General features: G+C 37.6%; 2 long non-coding RNA genes across 5 annotated transcripts in view; both read left to right on the forward strand.

Annotated features, from left to right (window-relative positions):
• The window catches only part of LOC102723370 (uncharacterized), a 366,694-nt gene that overhangs the window by 158,457 nt on the left and 185,833 nt on the right, over nucleotides 1-22,404 (forward strand). The gene's annotated exons all lie outside the window — the stretch shown is intronic.
• LOC105376587 (uncharacterized) lies at nucleotides 933-21,073 on the forward strand. Its single transcript, XR_931117.3, has 2 exons — nucleotides 933-994; nucleotides 20,687-21,073. It is a non-coding gene; the product is annotated as an uncharacterized LOC105376587 (long non-coding RNA).

Below are 22,404 nucleotides of genomic sequence, written 5' to 3' on the forward strand. Positions count from 1 at the left end.
TTATCTGAATCCTACTAACTGAGCACTGCTGGAGAAAGTCGTATTACCAAACATTTACATCATAAAATATATGATAACCAGTCTCACATGGGCCTTGAACATCATACACAAACCTTACCATTTCACTCACATTCTCCTTAACCATTTTAAACATTGCCAATTCTCTTAAAACTCTGATATCCCCAGGAGCCATCCAATCATACACACATATGTTTTTGTTCACAGCAGATACAACCTCATCTTCCACTTCACAGAGGAAATTATTTTCAGTATAAATGCATTAGGTGCCTATTAAATAACAGGCATTGATTTAGTTGCTGGGAATATGGTTATCCAACAGACATATAATGTCCCAGGTTTTTGAGTCTTTATATTCAAATAAAAAAAACAGACAATAAATATGTGAACAGATTTCAAATAAACGTATGGTTAGATAGAGAAAATTCTAGAAGAATAGACAGACAAGGATTGATCAGTATCATAAGTTCAGGTAGTGATGTGTTTTGAGGACAATAAACCAAAATAATAAGATAACAATATGTATACCTTATATACAGTGATCAATAAAGGCCCTTCTAATGAGGAGTCACTTGAGCAATGAGGCAGAGACTGCTGATTATTTATCCCAATATCAGTAATTCTTTCTTAGTAATAGAGCTCTAATTTTTAGTGGGCACATGATCACCAAGAAAAAGTAACACATTTCCTGTACTCTTCTGTAGCTAAGTGTTGCTATATAACTGAGTTGCAGCCAGTGCAATATTAAGAAGTGCCTTTTGGTACTACTGGAAGTTCTTCTTAAAAGGGAGGAGATGAGATTTTTTTTTCCACTTCCTCCACCCCACTGCCTAGATTATGTTGCAATGTTGCAGTTGTAATGGGAAGATACTAGCAGAAGTAGGAGAAAAGGCCTGTGGAATATGTCCATATTTGCATTTGAGAAACAACACTGGCTGCTCTCTGAAGAGACTATGCGGAGCAGAAACAAAGCAAGGTAACTCATTGGGAGGTTATTATGCTCACTCTAAGGCAGCATGATAGTAGCTAGGGAAGCTGCAGAGGGTATGATAAAAGGGGTTGTATTTTGAATATATTTTGCAAGAAGCTAACAAGGCTTGCTAAGAGTTGAATGTGAAGAGTGGCAAGTGGGAAAGACATGCACCAAGGCTGACTCCTAAATTGTTGGCCAGTGAATTGTGGTGCCATTTACTCAAGTGATAAAGACTGGGGAAGAAGCAGATCTGAGGGAAAGTGGATAGTGAAGAATCTTAAGTTTTATTTTGGATGTGTATGTTTAGCCTGGCATGTCTATGAGACATTCAAGTGGAAACATTGAGAAGACATTTGCGCATTTCTGGAGCCCTGGGAGTAAAATAAGATATATACATCAGGGAGTTATAAATATACAAGTGGCATTTAAGCTATGAAACTAAATAAAATCAATTAAATAGAGAATCTAGATGAAGAAGGACAGGGGATTACAGACCATGTGTCACTGCAACTTTTAGAGTCCGGACAGATTGAGGGAAGTCAACAAAGAAGTCTGAGAGGGAGAAATCTGGAAGGTATTACAGAGAAAACAGGAGGGTGTTGAGTCACAAAGCTTGGTGAGAAAGTGCTGCAAGAAAGAGTATCAGACGCTGCTGAGAGATTGAAGAGGTAGAGAAAGAGAATTCATCATGAGTTTGCAAAGATGGAGAGCAACGACCTTGATAAAAGCTGTTTTGGTGAAATGGTAGGAACAAAATCCTTCTTGGGATGAAGAGAAAGGGGAGGAAGTAATTGGCTGTTCTATGAAGAGGAGCAAGGAAATTCCACAATAGAAGGAGTGTGATGAAGAGCGAGTTGTTTGTTCGTTTGTTTGGCTAGTAGGTTTATTGGTTTTGTATATTTTTATTACTTTCTAAATAGGAAGATATTTTTAAGTGTCAGCAAGAAAATTGGAGTAAGCTAATCAATAGATAAATTAATAATGTAAATAAAGGCAGGCTAGAGTATACCAGAGGAATGGATCTAAAAGTAAGAAAGGCAAGCTGAATTTACAACCACGAGAACTGGGATCATGTCTGCTATTGCTAACTATTAAATCCTCAGTTCCTAGAATAGTGGTGAAGACATAGTAGATGCTTATTTATTAGATGGTAAGTAGTTAGATGAATTAATGAATGCTAGGTCTATAGTTTTAACCTGCATATTTTATTACAAAATCTTTCATTCTTATTATTGCATTTTCTGCTTAAAATATCTTGGAGCTTCCCATAGTCTGTTTTAACAGGGATTGTTTAAATACAAGCCTCAAGTTGGCACAAGGACACATGATGTGTGTCTCTGCCACATAATGGCTGGTCTCTGCCTGTCACTGTAGTCTCAGTTCTCTACATTCCCACTTGCATCCTACTCTACATTCACACTGAAGTGAATTACTAGCTCTACAAGTACATCATGCTTTAGTGCCAAGTGTTCTCTGTTCTTGCAAAAACTCTCCCTCATCAGCACCCTGTATTTGCCAAATCCAATTTATCCTTTAGCAATCAGCTTAAACACCATTCCCCCGGGAAGATTTCTCTGACCTGATTTTCTGAACTAGACCTTTTTGATGTTCCCAAAGCAAATGCACAAAGCTCTTACAAATAACTATGATATAATATTAATTTTGTTTATTAGCTTGTTTCCGTAATTAAAATTAAACTCTAAAGTAAATATGCTTTTCATCACTGAATACCAAGAACTTTACTTAAGACATTTAGTTAATGCCATTAAGTATCAAAAAGATGACCATGTCATTTAATCAACCAAAAATATTTACTCTCTCAAAGTCTTCAAGAAATGGGAGTGTCTACGTTGAAATTTTCCTCATATTTTCTTGTTGCTATCTGATTAAAAATTCAAATACTTAATGAGCCCCAAATCTTAAAAGAGCTCATAATATAAGTGAGCCAGGTCATATAAAGTAGCACAGTATCATCATGAGTTAGTGTAGGTTCGCAAATAACAGGGTTTCCATCTGGCATTCCTTCATCCTTTGGCAAACATCCATAATTAATTACAGTAGCCCTACTGAGATGGGATGTGGCCTTAGAAGCTGTTTTAGTGCAGTATTTTTATGCACACTGTATGAAAGTTTGCATAGAAAATGAAATCTATTTTCATTCCCTGAGTTAGTACAGTGAATTGGATAAGAGTAATGTCCTGGGTAAATGGAATAAAGTTCAATTCAACCTTGATGGAAATAGGGAGATAAACTAAGGAAGGTTTACAGCATTGTGTATGCATTGGGAAAAGGGCAGGTAGCCTCATGACACCAGATAGCTGACAAGAAAAAGGAGTTTAGCAAGAGAATGAAAAAGAGATCATGGATAAATTTGAGATATTTTAAAATCTAGTATGGTCCGGTGGTTTCTTATAGAGACCATAAAGTTTCTCCAGCCCTGACATGAATCTCCATGAACATTAGTGCAACTCTTAGTCATCTGGAGGGCTGTAGCCTGGGCCAGATGCAAAGGAATAGATTGATCTTGAAGAGTCCGAAATCTGGTGTTCAGAAATATAGCTGATAATTTACCTGAACAAGGAAATACCTTAGCAGAACTCTGAGATTCCTAGCGCAAAAGAACACTATTACATAATAAAAGCTGTGAAATTCTTGAAGGCAAGAGCTTCAGTTTAACAATCACTGAATCACCTGACATGGTTGGTACCTAATAAATATCTATTCTAGGACTGCCAGCAGTGCCTCACAGTGATATAGTTTGGCTGTGTCCCCACCCAAATCTCAACTTGAATAGTAGTTTCCATAATCCCCACGTGTCTTGGGAGGGACCCAGTAGAAGGTAATTTAATCATGGAAGCAGTTACCTTCACGTTATTCTCATGATAGTGAGTGAGTTTTCATGAAATCTGATGGTTTTACAAAAGGCTTTACCCCTTTTGCTCATTCTTCTATCTCCTGCTGCCTTGTGAAGAAGGACATGTTTGCTTCCTCTTCCATCATAATTGTAAGTTTCCTGAGGCTTCCCCAGCCATGCTAAACTGTGAGCCAATTAAACCTCTTTCCTTTGTAAATTACCCAGTCTCAGGCAGCTCTTTATTAGCAGCATGAGAATGGACTAATACAGTTAATTGGTACCCGGTAGTGGGGCGCTGCTGTAAAGATACTTGAAAATGTGGAAGTCACTTTGGAACTGGGTAACAGGGAAAGGTTAGAACAACTTGGAGGGCTCAGAAGAAGACAGGAAAATGTGGGAAAGTTTACAAGTTTCTAGAGACTTGGAGGGCTCAAAAGATAGGAAGATGTGGGAGAGGTTGGAATTTCCTAGAGACTTGTTGAATGGCTTTGACCCAAATGCTGATAGTGATATGGACAATAAAGTCCATGATGAGGTGGTCTCAGACAGAGATAAGGAACTCATTGGGAACTGAAGTAAAGGTCACTCTTGCTATGAAAAAGACTGACAGCATTTTGCCCCTGCCCTAGAGATCTGTGAACTGTGAACTTGAGAGAGATGATTTGGGGTATCTGGTAGAAGAAATTTCTAAGTGACAAAGCATTCAAGAGGAAGCAGAGCATAAAAGTTTGGAAAATTTGCAGCCTATCAATGTGATAGAAAAGAAAAACCCATTTTCTGGGGAGAAATTCAAGGCCGTGAAAGTATCATGAAAGAGGGGGTCAATAGCCTGTAAAGCCACAGGGCAGAGCTGCCCAAGGCTGTGGGAGCACACCTCTTGCATCAGTGTGACCTGGATGTGAGACATGGAGTCAAAGGGGATACTTTTGGAACTTTGAGGTTTAATGACTGCCCTGTTGGATTTTGGACTTGTATGGGGTCTGTACCTCCTTTATGTGGGTGATTTTCTCCCACTTGCAACAACTGTATTTACCCAATGCCTGTACACCCATTGTCTCTAGGAAGTAACTAACTTGCTCTTGATTTTCCAGGCCCATAGGTGGAAGAAACTGCCCTTGTCTCAGATGAAACTTTGGACTTTGCCTTTTGAGTTAATGCTGGAATGAGTTAAGACTTCAGGGGACTGTTGGAAGGGCATGATTGTGTTTTAAAATGTGAGGACATGCATGAGCTTTGGGCGGGGCCAGGGGCAGAATGATATGGTTTGACTGTGTCCACACCCAAATTGCATCTTGAATTGTAGTTCCCATAATCCCCACATGTCATAGGAAGGACCCCTTGGGAAGTAATTTAATCATGGTAGCAGTTACTCTCATGATGTTCTCATGATAGTGAGTGAGTTGTCATGAGATCTAATGGCTTTATAAGGGGCTTTCCCCCACCCCTTTGCTTATAATTCTTGTTGCTGCTGCCATATGTAGAAGGACATATTTTCTTCCTTTTCTGCCATGATTGTAAGTTTCCTGAAGCTTCCCCAGCCCTACAGAACTGTGAGTCAATTAAACCTCTTCCTTTATAAATTACGCAGTCTCAGTTATGTCCTTATAGTGGTGTGAGAATGGATTAATACACACAGTAACAGTGTAGTTTCTTAATCTTCCAAAATGTCTCCTGACCATTTAGGGAATATTGGTCTCATAAATGCTCCCTAAGAAATGCCTTAGAAATCTCAGGCACCCAAAATGACTGGATAAGCTATAGTGTAGATCCCAGTAGTGAGCTTTGAGGAATAAATCAACAAGATAAAGATGACAAACTAGTTTGTAAATGTTATATAATCTGACAATATAAATGTAATATAAATAACAAAAATGGGAGAAGATGAGACTAAGTGGATAATGGAATATGGTTGCTGATGACCTCATTAGTATTGACTTGTAAGAAAAATGAAATAACAAAAGCTTAAGCATTTTTAAAGAGTCGAAAATATCTTTAAGGTAATGTTTGTCATTGAAATTAAGTAATGGAGGAGAGAAAATGAGAAAAATTGATGCTAGCTATCTTCATTATTGTTCATTGTAAGTAGCTAATAGACATCATCCAGAAAAGACAGTGCTATGGATATTATATAAAGAAAGGTATTGGTATAATGAAAACCACTAGAACAAAAAGATAAACTATCCTAAAAACCAAAATAAATACCATCAACATTTAAAAAAATCATAATGTAGTGAAAGATTTACTGTGTGTAAGTGTGTGATTATATAAATATAATGCAAAATCGTATGACAGAAATTAGAATTTTGAGTAGCTCATTAGTAAATATAAATGTGCTTAGCTTTATTAAAAAAACTAAAAAGATGTTTAGATTGGCTAACAAATTCATATCCAATTGTTTGCTGAACACAAGAGACACACCTAATATAAAATGATTTAGAAAAGTTAAAAATAAAAGGATGGGCAAAGATACATGAAGAAAATACAAATGAAAAGAAGAAGTTGTAATTCTGATATCAGACAAGGTAGAATTTAACCAAACAAGAAAACTTTATAAACTAAAGGCCATAATTAAAAACACAGGTAAAAGAGTTATTTGTGTGCTTTTAAAAAACATAGCAGCAAATTTTAATAGGACATACTAGAATAAATTCATTACTGTTTTTCTTAAGATACATACTTTCTAACTTTCACAACAGGAAATGTTTGAAAGTAATGAGAGTTTGAGAACACTTAGTTCATCTAGTTCCCAGGTTGTGGGCCCAGAGCCCCAGAGGTAATGTCTAATCCCAGATGTGGGGAAACATAGGTACTCCATAAGTCTGTCATTTCTTTTTGCTGGAAAGAAAGGGGATGCACAAAGACATATGTCATGTCAAAGGGTCACTGTCAAACATGAAGGGACTTCTAATGGCCAAAGATTCAAAAATGACAAAAGTTAAGCATTGAAAAAATAATAATTGAAATTGATTCAGACTCATTTCATATATAAATACCTGTAAAATTATGATGATATGTAGAAAGAAAGAAAGAGGTAGGAGAAGAGAGCTATCCACACCTCTCCCAATTAATTGGTTGTATTAGAAGTAACAGGCCCCAAATCCTTTCTCTAACAACTTAAGAATTAAATGCTTTTCTTATTGCAATTGTTTTTCAGTTTGCTCAAATCATACTATTATCTAAATATTGAAAAGTTATTCTTTGTTAAAATAATTATTACTAATATATGTAGAAGAAATGATAGAATTACAAATATTTTGCAATTTCCCATTTAATCATTGGGGCTGGCACCAATAATTAAAAACAGGAGACAATCATGGGAAATGCTGATAAGAAAAAGAATAAGAGGATGGGGCTGTCACACCCTGAACTCACAGGTAAATCATAGCATCACCAAGAGATAGTTACATATTTTGTGTCTCTTGATATGGTGAATATAAAATATTTAGCACCATCTGTAAAATATTCTTACCAAATGGTTGAACCTGATTCTAGTAGAATGTAAGTCATGAGAGCTCATTTCCAGTTTTCAGGAAATAATAAGGTTAGAAAAAACAAAGACATATCTTCAATATGGAACGTCCTTCAAATTGGCTGACCTATTTTGTTTTCTTTTTGCGTAAATCAATAGCATGAAAAAAAGGAAATGTACTAGTCCAGCATTAAAGAGGCTCAGATTCATAACAACCATATGTAATGATAGACGTGGGTTGAACCCTTATTGAAGCAACCCATACTTTAAGTTGTAAGGAAACAACTGAGGAAATATGATTATAAACTAAGTATTAGATGGTTACAAGGATTTGTGTTTAAAAGAAAAAACAAGTAGAAAAGAAAATTGAATATAAAGAGACAGATAAAGCAAGTGTGGCAAAACCTAAATAATTCTTGAGTCTGAAAGATGTGTTTGTGGGGTTTTTCACACCATTGTCCTTATTTTGTTAATGTTTGAAAATTTTTAGAGTAGCTTTTAATAAATGTAAATAATAAAAAGGAAAAAGTTCTCATCTGTTTTATAAACTTTGAGAATAATTAAAAGAATAAGGCTTCTAGGAAACACAAAGCTCTAATCAGGAGCACAGAATGATGGCTAATTTGTTTTCAGAAGTAAAACAAGTACCCAGCACATAAAGCCATTTTTTTATAAACCTTACTCAAATTGTAATGCAACTGCTAACCTTTGTAAATGGGATTTTTTAAATAAAAATGTGCCCTGAGGCAATTTATATTTATTGTCATGTCTATGGCTAAAACCAAGGAAACCAAATTCTAGTTGCAAGAAAGATTGTATTTCCCTTCTTCGTGAGCCTAGTGTAAGGGAGATTGGTGGCTTTCCGTTTCCTGCATTTTTCCTTTTGTAATAAAGCATTTAAGTTTATTTCTTAGCAAGACCTGTTCTGCAGTCAGAAAAGCTCTGGGGAAGATTTGGGCTTTAATGCCAGCAAATGGAATCATGGATGGTGATGTTGATCTAGCGTTTGGCTTGTAAGAAATGCTGAGCCAAATAATCCTGCAGTGTTCTAGAGGGATCTTGTGATATAGTTTGTCTTTCTGTCTATTCACAATCAAAAATAAATCACAGGATTAGCTTACCTAGCAACAAGCAATGGGATGTTGAGTTTTAGAGAAATCAGAAAGACTTGATCTATGCAATTGAATGCCACTCACCTCCAGAATTCTGTTCTAACTCATTAGGGTGGGCATAGATGTCTTGGACTAAGTGAAAATGCAACATCAGTGAAATGTGTCATTTAGCATCTGCTAACCTCCTTGGCTCTCTTCTTTCCATCATGATGTTCCCCTTTCTTTTGGTCAAACATAAGCTTTCCTGCCCCATTTAGTCTCTGGCAATGAAAAAGTGGTGAACATATTTATTACAAGTGTCCATGACATCGTAGACAAACCTTCCCAGGACTATTGACATTTTAAAAGCATTCATAATTGATTCAAAGTGGATAGTAATCTATTAGAGGGATTTCGGTAACCAGCACACACTATATATGGAAAAGAGGAAAACCCATACCTAATTATGATAATAGCTAATATTACTTGGGCATAGACTACGTGTCAGTTATTTTCGTGCATAATTAATTTAATCTTCACAACAACCCTGAAGTATAAATATGATTATCACTGAATTACAGGAAACCTAAGACACAGAGGAGAAAAGCAGTTTGCACAGATCACACAGCAAGTGAGTATCAGAACAATGTTAGGACTCAGTCAGTTTGACTCTAAACTAGTGATTAATATGAGCCTGGCAATGTGCTAAGCACTTTGAATTATATATTGACTCCTCTGCCTCTGTGACTTGTTGCTATTGTTTGTTTTGGCATTTGTTTTGTTTATTTATTAGTAATTTGTCTGAATTGATTTTGTGAAGCCCATTTTCCCTCCCATGTGCAGCCTCAGATGTCCCTTCTCAAAATTTTTCTCCTTGTTTGCGTCTTTTAGCTCAGTTTCCTGAGATTAGCCCCTGAGTCCATAAACCCCAAATATTGGTTAAAGGTTGTGCTTCAGCCCCATTGGTCAGTTAAATTTCCACCACTCATTACCTCTGGATATGTGTGTGTGTGTGTGTGTGTGTGTGTGTGTGTGTGGCTTGGATATTTTGGATATTGCTTTCATAATTCAGGAAGTTTATGTTTCACATTCAACCAGGGACTAATAGCTCAGAAGTTTCCTCTCCAGTTATTCATGAGAGGGCTCAGCTTTGGCCAGGCACACTCTTCCAGACCACCAGGGTGGAGAGTGATTACTTTTAAGCCTGGTTTCTAGGTATTGACCCTGGATCAGAGGATTACATTGTTCAGCTAGTGTTTAGTTAGATGTTGTGCTTAATCCTCTTGAGTCAGTGAGGCTTCTCCCTTTTGCTGATGGATCTCTGTGTTGCTTAAGGAATTCTTTCCATTCCGCCCCATGTCCCATTCTGATTACTTGAAATGAATGCAGCCTAGTGTATGCACACTCCCTTTCACACCCCCAGGGATAAGTGTGATCCCAAGAGGTGTCTCCTTGGCTGTCTTTTTCTGTTATTACTTCTGGCTGGTCTTCCATTTTTAATTTCAATAGGATCATAGAACTACCAGCTACTCTTAATCACTTGTTAACAAAATCTGCATTTATCTTTAGCCATGAACTCCCTCATGCTTTGTGCCAAGTAAAGTCAGTCCGTTTAGTCAGAGCCATGAAGCTGAAAGCTGGGAGTTGGGAACAGCAGTCCTTTGACTCCTTTACTTTAGCAGCACTCAGGGGTACAGCAGCCTTTTATCTTCTCAGCTTGTCCTTCCCAGCATAAAACCTCTATACTATAAACAAGTTGGGCCCCAAGAGTTTTGACCTGTTGTGTCTAAGGCAGGGCTTTTGTCCAATGAGTGGAAACTTGGGTGAGGGAAGGGAGCCTCATTCCTCTCGACCATGCTCACCCAAAATAAAACTTGTAACATGGAGTTTGGAGGGCAGATCTAAGAGATGCCTGTGGCCTGCTCCTTTCAGAGTAAAACTGTTGGTTGCCCGAGACTAGGAATTGCAGGGACAGACAGCCTTGTCTTCTTGGCCATAACCACCCAAAATAGAGCACCTGAACAAGCAGTTCTAAATCTGAGAGCTGATGGGGAAGCTGTGCATGGGATAGGAGCAGGTCCTGGCCTGGCCTGGCCTAAATGCAGCAGATTCTCACTCTTCCTGTTCAGATTTCATAGGGCGTCTCGTACCCCTGTTTCTCCATTTGATGCATGCTGTTAGGACAACTTTCAGAGATTTCAGTGGATTGTTTATGTTTTATAATTATAACTAGTTAAATGACTTTTTTCCCCAGGGAGATAATCCACCAACCTCCTCGCACAGCCATTCTGGAAGTCCCAAGTCCTGCCTCTAGAGACTAAATGAAACTTACTTGTCTCTTTTTCACTTCTCTCACATCTCTGTTAAGTGACAGGTTGGCTAATCAACTTAATGAATTACTATCTGCCTTTAGTCATATCTGAAATAAAGTGGGAAAAAAGGAAATGAGGAAAAGAGAAGATAATAAGAGATGAAGGGAAGAGGGTGGAAAGTCAGGGGGAGAAATCAGGGACAGAAGAAGCAAAAGGTGTAAGCATCTTTAAAAGTTGTAAGACCTCTTGCCATCAATAATCTTATTTTTTGGCTGACAATAATCTCACAGAGGAAGGCAGGGTGGGAATGATTACCTCATCCTTTACAGTGAGAATATCAAGGTCAACAAAGGTTGGAGATTAGCTTAAAGTCACATGGTACATGGAAGAGCCCAGAGAAGATCCAGGTCTTCTGACCCCTGGTCTTTCATCCCTTCCACTACACTCTGAGGCCCCAGTCACTCCCTGGAAGGAGTAATGAGAGGCTATCTGGTACTGTAGCAGGCCCATCTAGGAAGATAATCTGAGGAAAAAGAGCCTTCGGTACTTTATCACGGAGGTGGCTACTGTATATATGTCAAGTCACTCTTCTTTTTAAATATCTTGTCTCTTGGAGTTTGGAATGACTGTTTAGATGAAAGCACCCCCTTAAAGACCATTCTAAGGAGCCACCGAAATGCAGTGCTTTCAAAAATTAAACAAGACACATTTTACAATTTTCCAAACATCAGACAATTACTAACCCTCACTCTTAGTCCTCTGTGAGCACAAGTGATAACACAGGTCACACAGATGCCTTTCTCCCTCTTTAGATCCTCTTTAATACCTGGAAATTGGTTTAAATTTCCTGACTGCTCTAGGTGACAGTGGTTCTTGCAACTCTTCAATTCTCTTCTTTCCCCCTTTTTAATCAGAAATCAAGATGCTGCCCTGAGAGTCACCTCTCATGCAGAGTGAGAAATCTAATAACTGAAAGCTTTTCTAATTTTTGCCCTCATTTCCAACTTAGGAACAATGGGATAAAGCCAAATATGCACACCTAATCAATCACATACGATACCCTGCTTCTAGTTAGCTTGTCTATAGCTTCCCTGTGCCAGCATAACCAAAGTTTTCCTTTTTTTCCACTGTAAGGCTTTCTCTCTCTTCTGCCTGCCTTGGAGTCTTTGCCAGAATAAGGGATGGTGGCTGATTTCCTTACTTTAGTAAGCTCTGAATAAATAGCCTTTGCTTGTTCTCACTGTGGTGAGCTTCATTTATTTCCTATATCATGGATTCAAAATCCTTTACAAACCATGAAGCAATATTAAAAACATTATTATGGTTATCATAATCTGTTACTTCCCAAATTGTGGACCATACGACTAGAAAGGCCATTAAACATTTCCTAGTGGTTTTTGTTGTTGTTGTTGTTGTTGTTTATTTTCCTTCAAATGAAAACCCAGTGAGTGTTGAAAAGGCCAAACCACATGTCTCTTTCTCATATTCTAGTTCAGGCCTTGCAGTGTCCACTCAAAATCTACTGATTTAGTTGAATTACCTAATTATTCAAATGAAAAAAGTAAAGCTCAGAAAGAAGTAGCTTGCCCTGAGTCACAGAGCCAGTTACTAGAACCTTTCTTATCTTCTAACTTCCTGTCAAAGTTAACTTCTCATACACACTATGTCAATGCATTATAACACTGGGGGAGCTGTATGTCCTGCCAGGTAACCTGGGCGCAGGGATTTACAAGCTCTCTGGAAAGAATTGCAATTATGTGGAAAGAGAAAGGAAAGGAACAAAAGGGTGACATCTTGGCAAACAAAGGACATATACCCACTCATCGCCTGAACAGAATAATTTTTAACATTAAAGGAGGTAGCTAGAGCTCAACTATTTCCCTTTTATTTTCAAAATAGTGGGAACCTCCCTTTTCTACAATTTAAAAGAGTAAAAGATAAGAAAGGGACAAATAGACAAATAATGTGAAGGAAGAGCAAATGCTACAGACAAAGCTTATGAAGAGGCAGTCTTGTCTGGGTGATGGTGAATATGTTGATGCATTGATGTGCATGATGCTTGGAGACTAAGAAAGAAAATGCCAAATGAGCCTGAACAGCAGTGCATGTTAAGTGGTATTGATGGATTTGAGTATAAATTGGCTGAGGAAAAGTGGTTGCAATAGATAGCTCATGCTGGGGATCTGAATGTATTTCTAATTGTATTAAAGGAATATGACTAGACATCCTACATTATGCTGGTCATCATTCTCCTCATCACCGTCCATATTTCCCCCAGTGGGGAGAAGGAATCCTGTGGGAAATTAAGGAGAATACAAGTCAAATCGGAGCCTTCTCTTGCCTGGCTATGCTCCGGGCTCCCTTTGTGCCACTTTGTGTAGATTTAAGAAACATCAAAATTTTGATGAGCATCATTTCATTGGACTATAAAGTTCATATTTTATATTTATCCTTTAAATGATGTATCCTTTTTAAATGATGGATCCTTTTTAAATGATGGGTTGTGAATAGGAACCAGACTCATTCAAGCTATGCCAGACTGGGTTTTCTAAGGCAATTACCCATTATTGTTGGGATGCTTCCTAGTTAATAACTCTCAAAGGGTAGCCTATAATTGAGCCTCTGGATAACCATAAGTCACATGCACATTTTCAGTGAGATTTATAGTTTTTTTAATTCTCATTTAAATAAATCTATGAAGCTAAATCTTTGTTTTTCCTGTTCCATTGATGAGACCTGTACAGTTTCATTTTAGAGAGTTTATTCCAGATTGTTCCTGTCCCCAGTGTTAAGGAAACCTATAAACTCATAAAATATTAGTAGGTCAAACTCGAAGAAACTTAAAAACTATTTATTCAATATTTAATTTTATTTCACGAGATCATTTATATGCAAAGATATTAAGTGACTAGGCCAAATTCACAGAAATAGTTTGTGCTACTGCATGAACCAGGCTTCAGGTAGCCTCATAAACTCATTCTATTTGACAAAGAGGTCTAGCTATCCCCCTTAAGGGAAAATGACATTTCAAATTAACTTGCCAAAAAAATATGTTTGTTGTGTCTAGAAGTTTCATTAGGTGTCAATTTTGGCAGATATCTTTTGGAAAATTCTTGTGACAATATTAAAGTGAATGCTTGGAAGTCACGCCCTGTGACAAGAAAATAAAAATTGGTTTTCTAATCAAGTAGGCATATATAATTTAGGTAGTAAATGACCAAATGGTGTGCGTTGCTGTTTTTTTTACCAATTACAGAAGTAATTTGTAAAGTAGAGAAATAACTGAATCTTTCACTTGCAAAGATAAATCTATTTATAAATAAATCTATTTGTCTGCCTATAGCATAGTCATCTTAAGTTATGAATATATAATATTCTCCCAGAGAAGTGTGTGTGTGCACACGTGTCCCCTCCTAAGTTTACTTAGAAATTAAATAACAAATGTCAATTTATGGCCAAAGATGTTTGCTACATCATGTTTATTACTTGGCTGAGAATACTCAAATGCTCACCTAAAATATGAAAAAAAAAAAAAAAGCAATAGATTAGCCAAAAAACAACCTGTATTCAGAAAAAAAAAAAATGTAACCAGAGTTACGGAGCCTCCAGAAAGAGGATTTAGATCATTAAGTCAAGGGAGTGCTGTTCATAAAAAAATCAGTATTACCAAATGAGGGTGCACATTAGAATGCCCTAAAGAGCTACAAGCAAACATTGAGGTTCCCAGGCCCCTTTCTCAGATATTTTGACTCAGTACGTTGGGGTAAATTCCAAGAATCTATATTTTTCCAAGTTTCTCTGATGACTGTCATGCAGTCAGTCCATCTCTCAGCTTTCAAGAACCACTGCATAAAATAATATTCCACTTCTTCTGAGAGGCAAATATATTCTAGCAAGAAATGACAATCAGTATTTATTAAGTATATTTTGTAGCATTTAATATAAGGGTTAGGACTTTTAAATATTATTTCATTTAATCTCCCCCACAGTCCTGAGAGGTGGGTACTGTTTTCTGAATTTTCTTACCGAAGGAACTGAGCTTTAAACACCTTAAGCAAAGGCCCAAGATCCCAAACTTAAGATTCTAAATTCTCTGATCTTTAAACCAAATTATGTTGCCTCTTCATTGCTACAAGTATCTTTGAGGTTTCCTCTTGGACTATTTAGTCAGCTAACTAATATTTACTGAGCATCTACTAAGGGCTGGCTAATGTAACTTAGTTATATATGTTGACTACTCTCTTTGAGAGCTTTTTTGCTTGGATAAAAATAAAAAGTCAAGTACTCATTTAAAATGTATTTTAATGTGTCTCTCAGTGAAGAACTAGACCTGTACTTAAGCAAGGATGGCTGGTATCCGCCAATGACAGTTGGTGTTACGGACACTTAGCACCAAAACATCTTCTCAATGATATTTAATCTCTCTTGCATTCAATTTAGCATGAACAGTGAGATTGTCTATGTGAGGCAATGTATAATTTTGAAGAAATAACCAACAACAGTGGAACACAGAACGAACACTGGGATTAACACCAGAATATCCACTTAATTCCTGGGCTCTGTCACTAAGTGACTGTCACTTGAATTCTGTGTATGATGTTCCTCAAATATAACATAAGGAAATGGGGCAAATGTTCCAATTCTAATGATCTGTGATTAGTATGTCTGAGAAAATATTTTTAACAGGGAGACCTTTCCGCCAGTCCTTAACCACCCTTTTTTTCCCTACACAAGAGCACACAGACTCAGACCCAAGGAAAAAGCTATCAACTGTCTTTAAAACTGAGTTACTTCACTTCTAAATATCTACCAACGTGTCATTTGGAAAATTTTATAGATGGGATAGTCAGTAAACTTATGCAACTTATTTTATAGATGGGATATTCAGTAAACTTATGTATTCACTCCAAAAGCAACTGCATATCAGCAACATGAGAGCTCTTTGCAAGGTGTAGGTCATTTGGAAGAAATATGTATTAAAAAGGTAGCAGTTGAGGTTGGTCATGGTGGCTAACACCTCTAATTTCAGCACTTTGGGAGGCTGAAGTGGAAGGATCACTTGAGCTCAGGAGGTCAAGGTTGCAATAAGCTATGATCATGCCACTGTGCTCCAGCCTGGGAAACAGAGTGAGACCGTGTCTCAAAAAATAAATAAATAAAATTTTTAAAAAATTTAAAAAGTTAGCAGTTGAAATCTCTGATGATAGATGGTTAGGGTGCAGTCAAGCTAGACGCTGGAGTAGTTTTTGGCAAGTTGTGCTTGCACAGTTAGTTGCTGAATCTGTCATCTTCAGTTAAGGCTTTGATGACCACGTGCCTTGTGAACATGAAACTATGTAGGTAGCTCAGTTAGGTTTAGGGAAGGATAGCCCAGGCCACGTAATTTATTCAGCTAAAAAGACAAAGCATTTGAATGTCAGGTAGTTGGCAGTGACCCATAAGTGCTATTGCCTAATAGCTATTGGCAGCCATTTCAAGAATTCCAGAGACCCAGATTGTAGAATTCACTCAGTACAAATGAGATGGATGACCTGGAGCAAGTCTCTTCCCCTTTCTGAGCCCATGTTTTCCCCGTGGTTGATTATGTATTATGAGTGAAGGCAGGGGGGCCTTCCTTGTTATTCCAGCTTACCATTAAATACTCAGCATCTAACTGATAGTAAAAAGTAAATTAGTTTTTGTTGTCTTAATGAAAGGGGCTAGACTTGATGATCTCTAGGGCCCAATTAGCTCCGGCATTCTACAGTTGTATCTTTTCTGGCACATACTCACCTTCACATAAGTCCTTGCTCTAGGCTGCTCGATTTATGCCCTGTATTGAAACTTAGGTAAGAGCCTCCCTTTTGGGTCAGTCCCTTCCTCTTGATTTCTCATCATTATACTTGTGACCATAACTTAAATAAATTCCAGTATCAACCCACAAGCCTGATGCCATGCACTGTTATCCATCTTTCACATTTGTGTATTGTTTATATGTGTATTTTCATTCTCCCAGTGCTTTCACTTTATATAGATCATTACAGAGTGAATTTGAACATACTTAAAAATTCAATAATAACCCTAGAACCAAAGAAATATAATGTTTTTTTATGTCCTATGAAGCTACCAAGAAGAGAAATATTAATAGCAAAAGAGATACTTCTAGAAATTTTTAAGACATCCTGAATATACAGCTATGCAAAACTAAATAGTAGTTTATTCCTAAGGTATGAGGTTAGGAGAGGTAACTACACTTTGATAAAAGTTTCATATTCAGCATAATGACAGGTGTCATCAACTCTTAAAATCACAACTTTCACTTCTGGAAAAAAAAATCTCATTGATCTTGCCCAATTCTTGTACCTCACTGGTGAGACACTGATTGAAATAACTTATTTGCCTTTCCTAACTTCAAGTAACATAGGAGTTGCAAGATTATTTATTTATTTATTTATTTATTTTCCAGTGGCCGAATTCTCTGAGCTCAGGACATTATTCTAAGGACTTGTTTTATTTTAGTATTTTTTTTAAATAATCCCCCGATGCCCTTTGAATAACTGGAGTAACACAGACAGTGTAATTGCTTTGAGGAACTGATGACTAATATTCCCAAAGCAAAAAGAAGGCAAAGCATTTAGATAATGAAATGTCAATCAGTGTAATAGAAGTGTCACTTACTTATTACTTACCAGTGTCTGAAAAGATTGCATGGTATTTGAAGACACATCTGTGTGTCAATACAACCAAAAACATTGTGCATGCACACATGCAGTACTGTGGCTCTCCTTACATGCTTCAAGATACTCCACCTACAATAACGTAGCTACAAAGACTGGTATGTAGAAGATTATGTGTGCATGTGCATCTGTATGAGTGTGTCTGTGTGTCCATCTGTCAACTTTCAGGATTCTGTGAAATGCTGGCCTTCTTGATCTAACACTGCAAAGCCTGCATCTGCAGCTGCATTTTTACAGATAACCAGGATGTTTTGTTCAGAGGAAACTGCAGTGCCCTTGACATTGAACAGTGCCAGAAATCAACTCAAGACCATCAAGCAAGGATTTTAAGTGCATAAAAGAACAATTTTTCCATAAATATTTATAGGAAACACTGCTCTGCATGAGTGAAAATGATAAGGATACGTAGTCAATAATCAAGTTGGGTTGTTATTTGTATGTAAACATTTAGAAATGGGCGAAAGAAAGAGAAAGTCCTACATTTTATTAAATAATCCAGACATTGCTTCAAATATTATGTTTTTCTGCCGGGGCTCCTTGCATTTTCCCTCATGCTGGCATCAGATTTTAACTTCTTCACAACCCTATATGTGAGTACTTTCAATCTCCAGAGCAAAGAGAAACTTTATTTGTTGGAAGCAAATGACATTTCAGAAGCAACATCTTAAAACTGAATGTCAAAATTAAGAAAATTTAGGCCAGGTAGCTTCAAACTAACATTCGAAGATATTTTTTGTGTTACTCAGGTAAAAATGACCAATTGGCAGTTGTGATTTTGATACAATACATATAAGAACGTGTTATTTTCCTGTGGCTGCTATAACAAACCACTGCAAACAGGCAGCTTTAAACAACATAAGTCTCTTGTCTCACAATTCTGGAAGCCATATGTCTGAAATCAAGGTGTTGGCAGGGCCCCACTGCCTCTGGAGGCTCTAAGGAAGAATCCTTCCTTCCCTCTTCCACTGTCTACTGGCTTCAGGTATTCCTTGGCTATGGTTGCCAAACTCCAATCTCTGGGTTTGTCTTCACAAAGCTTTCTTTTCAATGGCTGTGCCTTTTTCTTCATTTGCTTATTATAAGAATACATGTCATTGAATTTAGGGCAACCTGGATAAATTAGGATAATCTTATCTCAAGATTTTCCACTGAATTATATATGTAAAAATATTTTTTTTTTCCAAATAGAGTCACATTAACAGTTTCTGGGGGTTAGAAAATAAATGTATGTTTTTGGGGACCACCATTCATTCCACTACAGCAGGGGCCCCCAACCCCAGGGCCAAGGACCGGAGCCTGTCAAGAACCAGGCCACACAGCACGAGGTGAACATTGAGTGAGCGAGCAAAGCCTCATCTGTATGTACAGTCACTCCCCATTGCTGGCATTACCACCTGAGTTCTGCCTCCTGTCAGATCAGTGGCAGCATTAGACTTTCAGAGAAGCACAAACCCTATTGTGAACTGTGTATGCAAGGGATATAGGTTGCATGCTCCTTGAGAATCTAATGCCTAGTGACCTAAGGTGGAGCTGAGGTGGTGATGTTAGCACTGGGGAGTGGCTGCAAATACAGATTAACATTAGCAGAGAGGTTTGACTACACAGAGACCATCATAAATCAATTGCTTACAGACTCATATCAAAACACAATAAGTGTGTGGCAAGTGACAAGCTGCATCTGGTAGCAGGCTTTATATTGGCAAGTGAGTTGATGTACTTCAATTGTCTGTTGCATCTGGTGGCAGGCTTTAAGTCACAATCTGACACTTATTTTAGTCTGCAGATGGCCTGCACATTATTTTATTTACCACTTCCATTCGTGCCTCTTTTCCACACTGTGCACTTGTCTCTGTCATGGTGTTGGTAAGCCCGCAAGCTAACCCTAGCTAAAATGAGTAAAAAACAAACGTCCCTACAGAGCTTCTATGAAAAAGGGGAAAGACCCAATGATGAGACAGCAGAAGACTCTAAAACTGCCAACAAAAAGAAAGCTGCATTTAAAAGAAAATACCAAGAGTTCTACTTAAATTATGGTTTCATTGCAACAGGAGATTCACCTTGTCCAAGCCCGCTTTGTATCATATATGGCAATCGGCTATTCAGTGAAGCCATAAAACTTTCAAAACAGCTGTGCCCCATGGAGACTAAGCACCCTGCATTAAAAGGCACACCTTTGAAGTTTTTCAAAAGAAAAATACAAACACAAAGAACAGACGCAATTATTGAAGGCCACCACTTCATCAAATGTGTGTGCACTGAGAGCATCATTCTTAGTAGCTAATCGCACTGCTGAAGCTAAGAAAACTTTTACTATTGGTGAAGAGTTGATTCTGCCTGCTGCTAAGTACATTTGTTGTGAACTTTTAGGAGAGGCTGCAGTTCCAAAGGTGGCACATGTTCCTCTTTCAGCTAGCACCATAACTAGATGAATTGATGAAATAGCAGAAGATATTGAGGCATAATTGTTAGAGAGGATTAGTGAGTCACTGTGGTATGCAGTCCAGGTTGATGAGTCTATTGATGTTGACAACAAAGCAACAAGGCTTGTTTTTGTACAATATATTTTTCAGGAGGATGTGTATGATATGTGCACTTCTGTTGCCAACCAACACCACAGCTGCAGAACTACTGAAGTCTTTGAGTAATTACGTATCAGGAAACTGAGTTGGTCATATGGTATTGATATATGCACAGATGGAGTGGCTGCCATGACTGGATGGCTTTCTGGTTTCGCTACTTGGGTCAAAGAGGTCACTTCTTAATGTGAGTCTACACGCTGGGTCATCCACAGAGAAATGCTGATGAGCCAAAAAATGTCACCTAAATTTAACAACGTTTTCCAGTATGTGATTAAAATCATCAACCGCATTAAAGTACATCCCCTTAACTCACTTCTGTTTGCGCAGCTCTGTGAGTATATGGACGCAGAGCGCATACGTCTTCTCGTATACGCAGAAGTGAGATGGCTTTCTAAAGGTAGATCACTGGCCAGAGTCTTTGAGTAGCACATTTTAGTGGCACAGAATGGGTCACAAGACTTGCTTATTTGATGGCATATTCAACCTGCTCAATGAACTCAATCTGTCACCTCAGGGGAGAATTACAACTGTGTTCAAGTCTGCATATAAAGTGGTTGCATCCAATGCCAAACTGGAATTAATGGGGGCAATGAGCGAATGTTGGGATTTTTGACATGTTTCAAAAATTAGAAGAAATTTTGAAAGATACTGAGCCAGGGCCTTCTTTCTTCCAGCTGGTGCATGATCACCTATCTCAGCTTTCAAGAGAGTCTGAACATTATTTCCCAACCACAAAAGACCCACCTCCACAACTGGGAAGGAATGGATCTGCAACCCATTTGTGAATAAGCCAGGTGAATTGACTTTGTCTGTGCTGGAAGAGGATCAACTGCTTGAAATCGCAAATCGAGGTGGCCTTAAAAGTATGTTTGAGACAACTTCAAGTCTTTACACATTCTGGATTAAAGTCAAGGCAAAATATACTGAGATTGCCACGAAAGCACTGAAAAACCTGCTTCTATTTCCAACATCCTATCTTTGTGAAGCAGGGTTTTCTGCAGTGACAGCAACCAAAATAAGATTACAGAGTAGACTGGACATAAGCAACACACTTGGGGTGTCACTGTCTCCCATCACCCCCATTTGGGACAATCTAGTTGCAGGGAAAAAAATTCCAGGGTTCCCACTGATTCTATGTTACGGTGAGTTGTGTAACTATTTTATTATGTATTACCATGTGATAATAATAGAAATAAAATGCACAATACATGTAATGTGCTTGAATATTCCTGAACCCACCACCCCCAAACCCAGCCGTTGGAAAAATTGTCTTCCATGAAATCAGTACTTGGTGCCAAAAAGGTTAGGGACCGCCGCATTACAGAATGTCATAATTGCTGCCTTTTATGACGAAAATGCTGTGTCTCAGTAGCTAAGACAGGCACATTGATCAACAACTACAAAATCTAAGTGTATTTAATATTAAGGTCTTTTAGATAACTTAATAGGCTTTTGAAACAACAGAGAAGCCCTCACTTTGCAGATGTGTAAGTAACTTTTCCATAAAGTTAAATGAAACCATTAAAATATTTTCAATTATTGGTAATACATCCAAATAGTATGAATGGGGAAAATAGGATTAGTGTTATCTGATTGCCACTAGGGGGAGGAAAAATCAGCAAATGAGCAGCAAATATGAACTGGAAGAAAATGCTCCAAAAAGTTGGCGTGGCATATGTATTTTGGTTAACATTTGTGAAGTATAAGTAGTGCATTACACAATTAAAGAAACATTTTTTATTTTTTTACTTTTCTATATATTCTACATTAAAAATATGTTCTAATTATACACACACATTTAAAAGAAAAAAGTCAAAAGACATATAAATATCATGGGAACATGGAACTTTAGAATGAGTCAGGACAAGTCTTAGATAACTTTGCTCAGCCTCTCTCCTTCGTGTGACATCCCTAGTAGAACAAGGTACACCTACCTCTACTTGGAAACTTCTGGTGATGGGGATCTTGTTTTTTTTTTTTTTTTTTTTTTCAGTCTAACTCACTCTAGTATTGATCATCACTGAGTCAGAAACTTCTCCCCAAAATGGACTACAACATGGCTACATTTTATATTCACTTGTGGCACAGTGTTACCATATATTGAACTACAGGTTGTGCACTGCACAGCTTCATAGATTACAATATGCATAGCACACCCTGAAGATCAGCAGTGTCACAGGGTCAAGATTCCTTTCATGGCCTATATCATTGTCCAAGTTGTATATATTCTTTCTTTGTCTTCCTTTTTCTCTTCCTCTTCTTCCTTTTTTCCTTTCTTTTAGCATTACTTGACCTCTTTAGAGGGAAGATGTGGCTCAAAATATTGCTTTGGGTTAATGTTCTTTGTCTTACATTTTTCCTGGAAAAAAATTAATCAGTGGTTTTTTCTTGA

This window comes from Homo sapiens, chromosome 11 (assembly GCF_000001405.40).
Source record: "Homo sapiens chromosome 11, GRCh38.p14 Primary Assembly".
Taxonomy (NCBI): domain Eukaryota; kingdom Metazoa; phylum Chordata; class Mammalia; order Primates; family Hominidae; genus Homo; species Homo sapiens.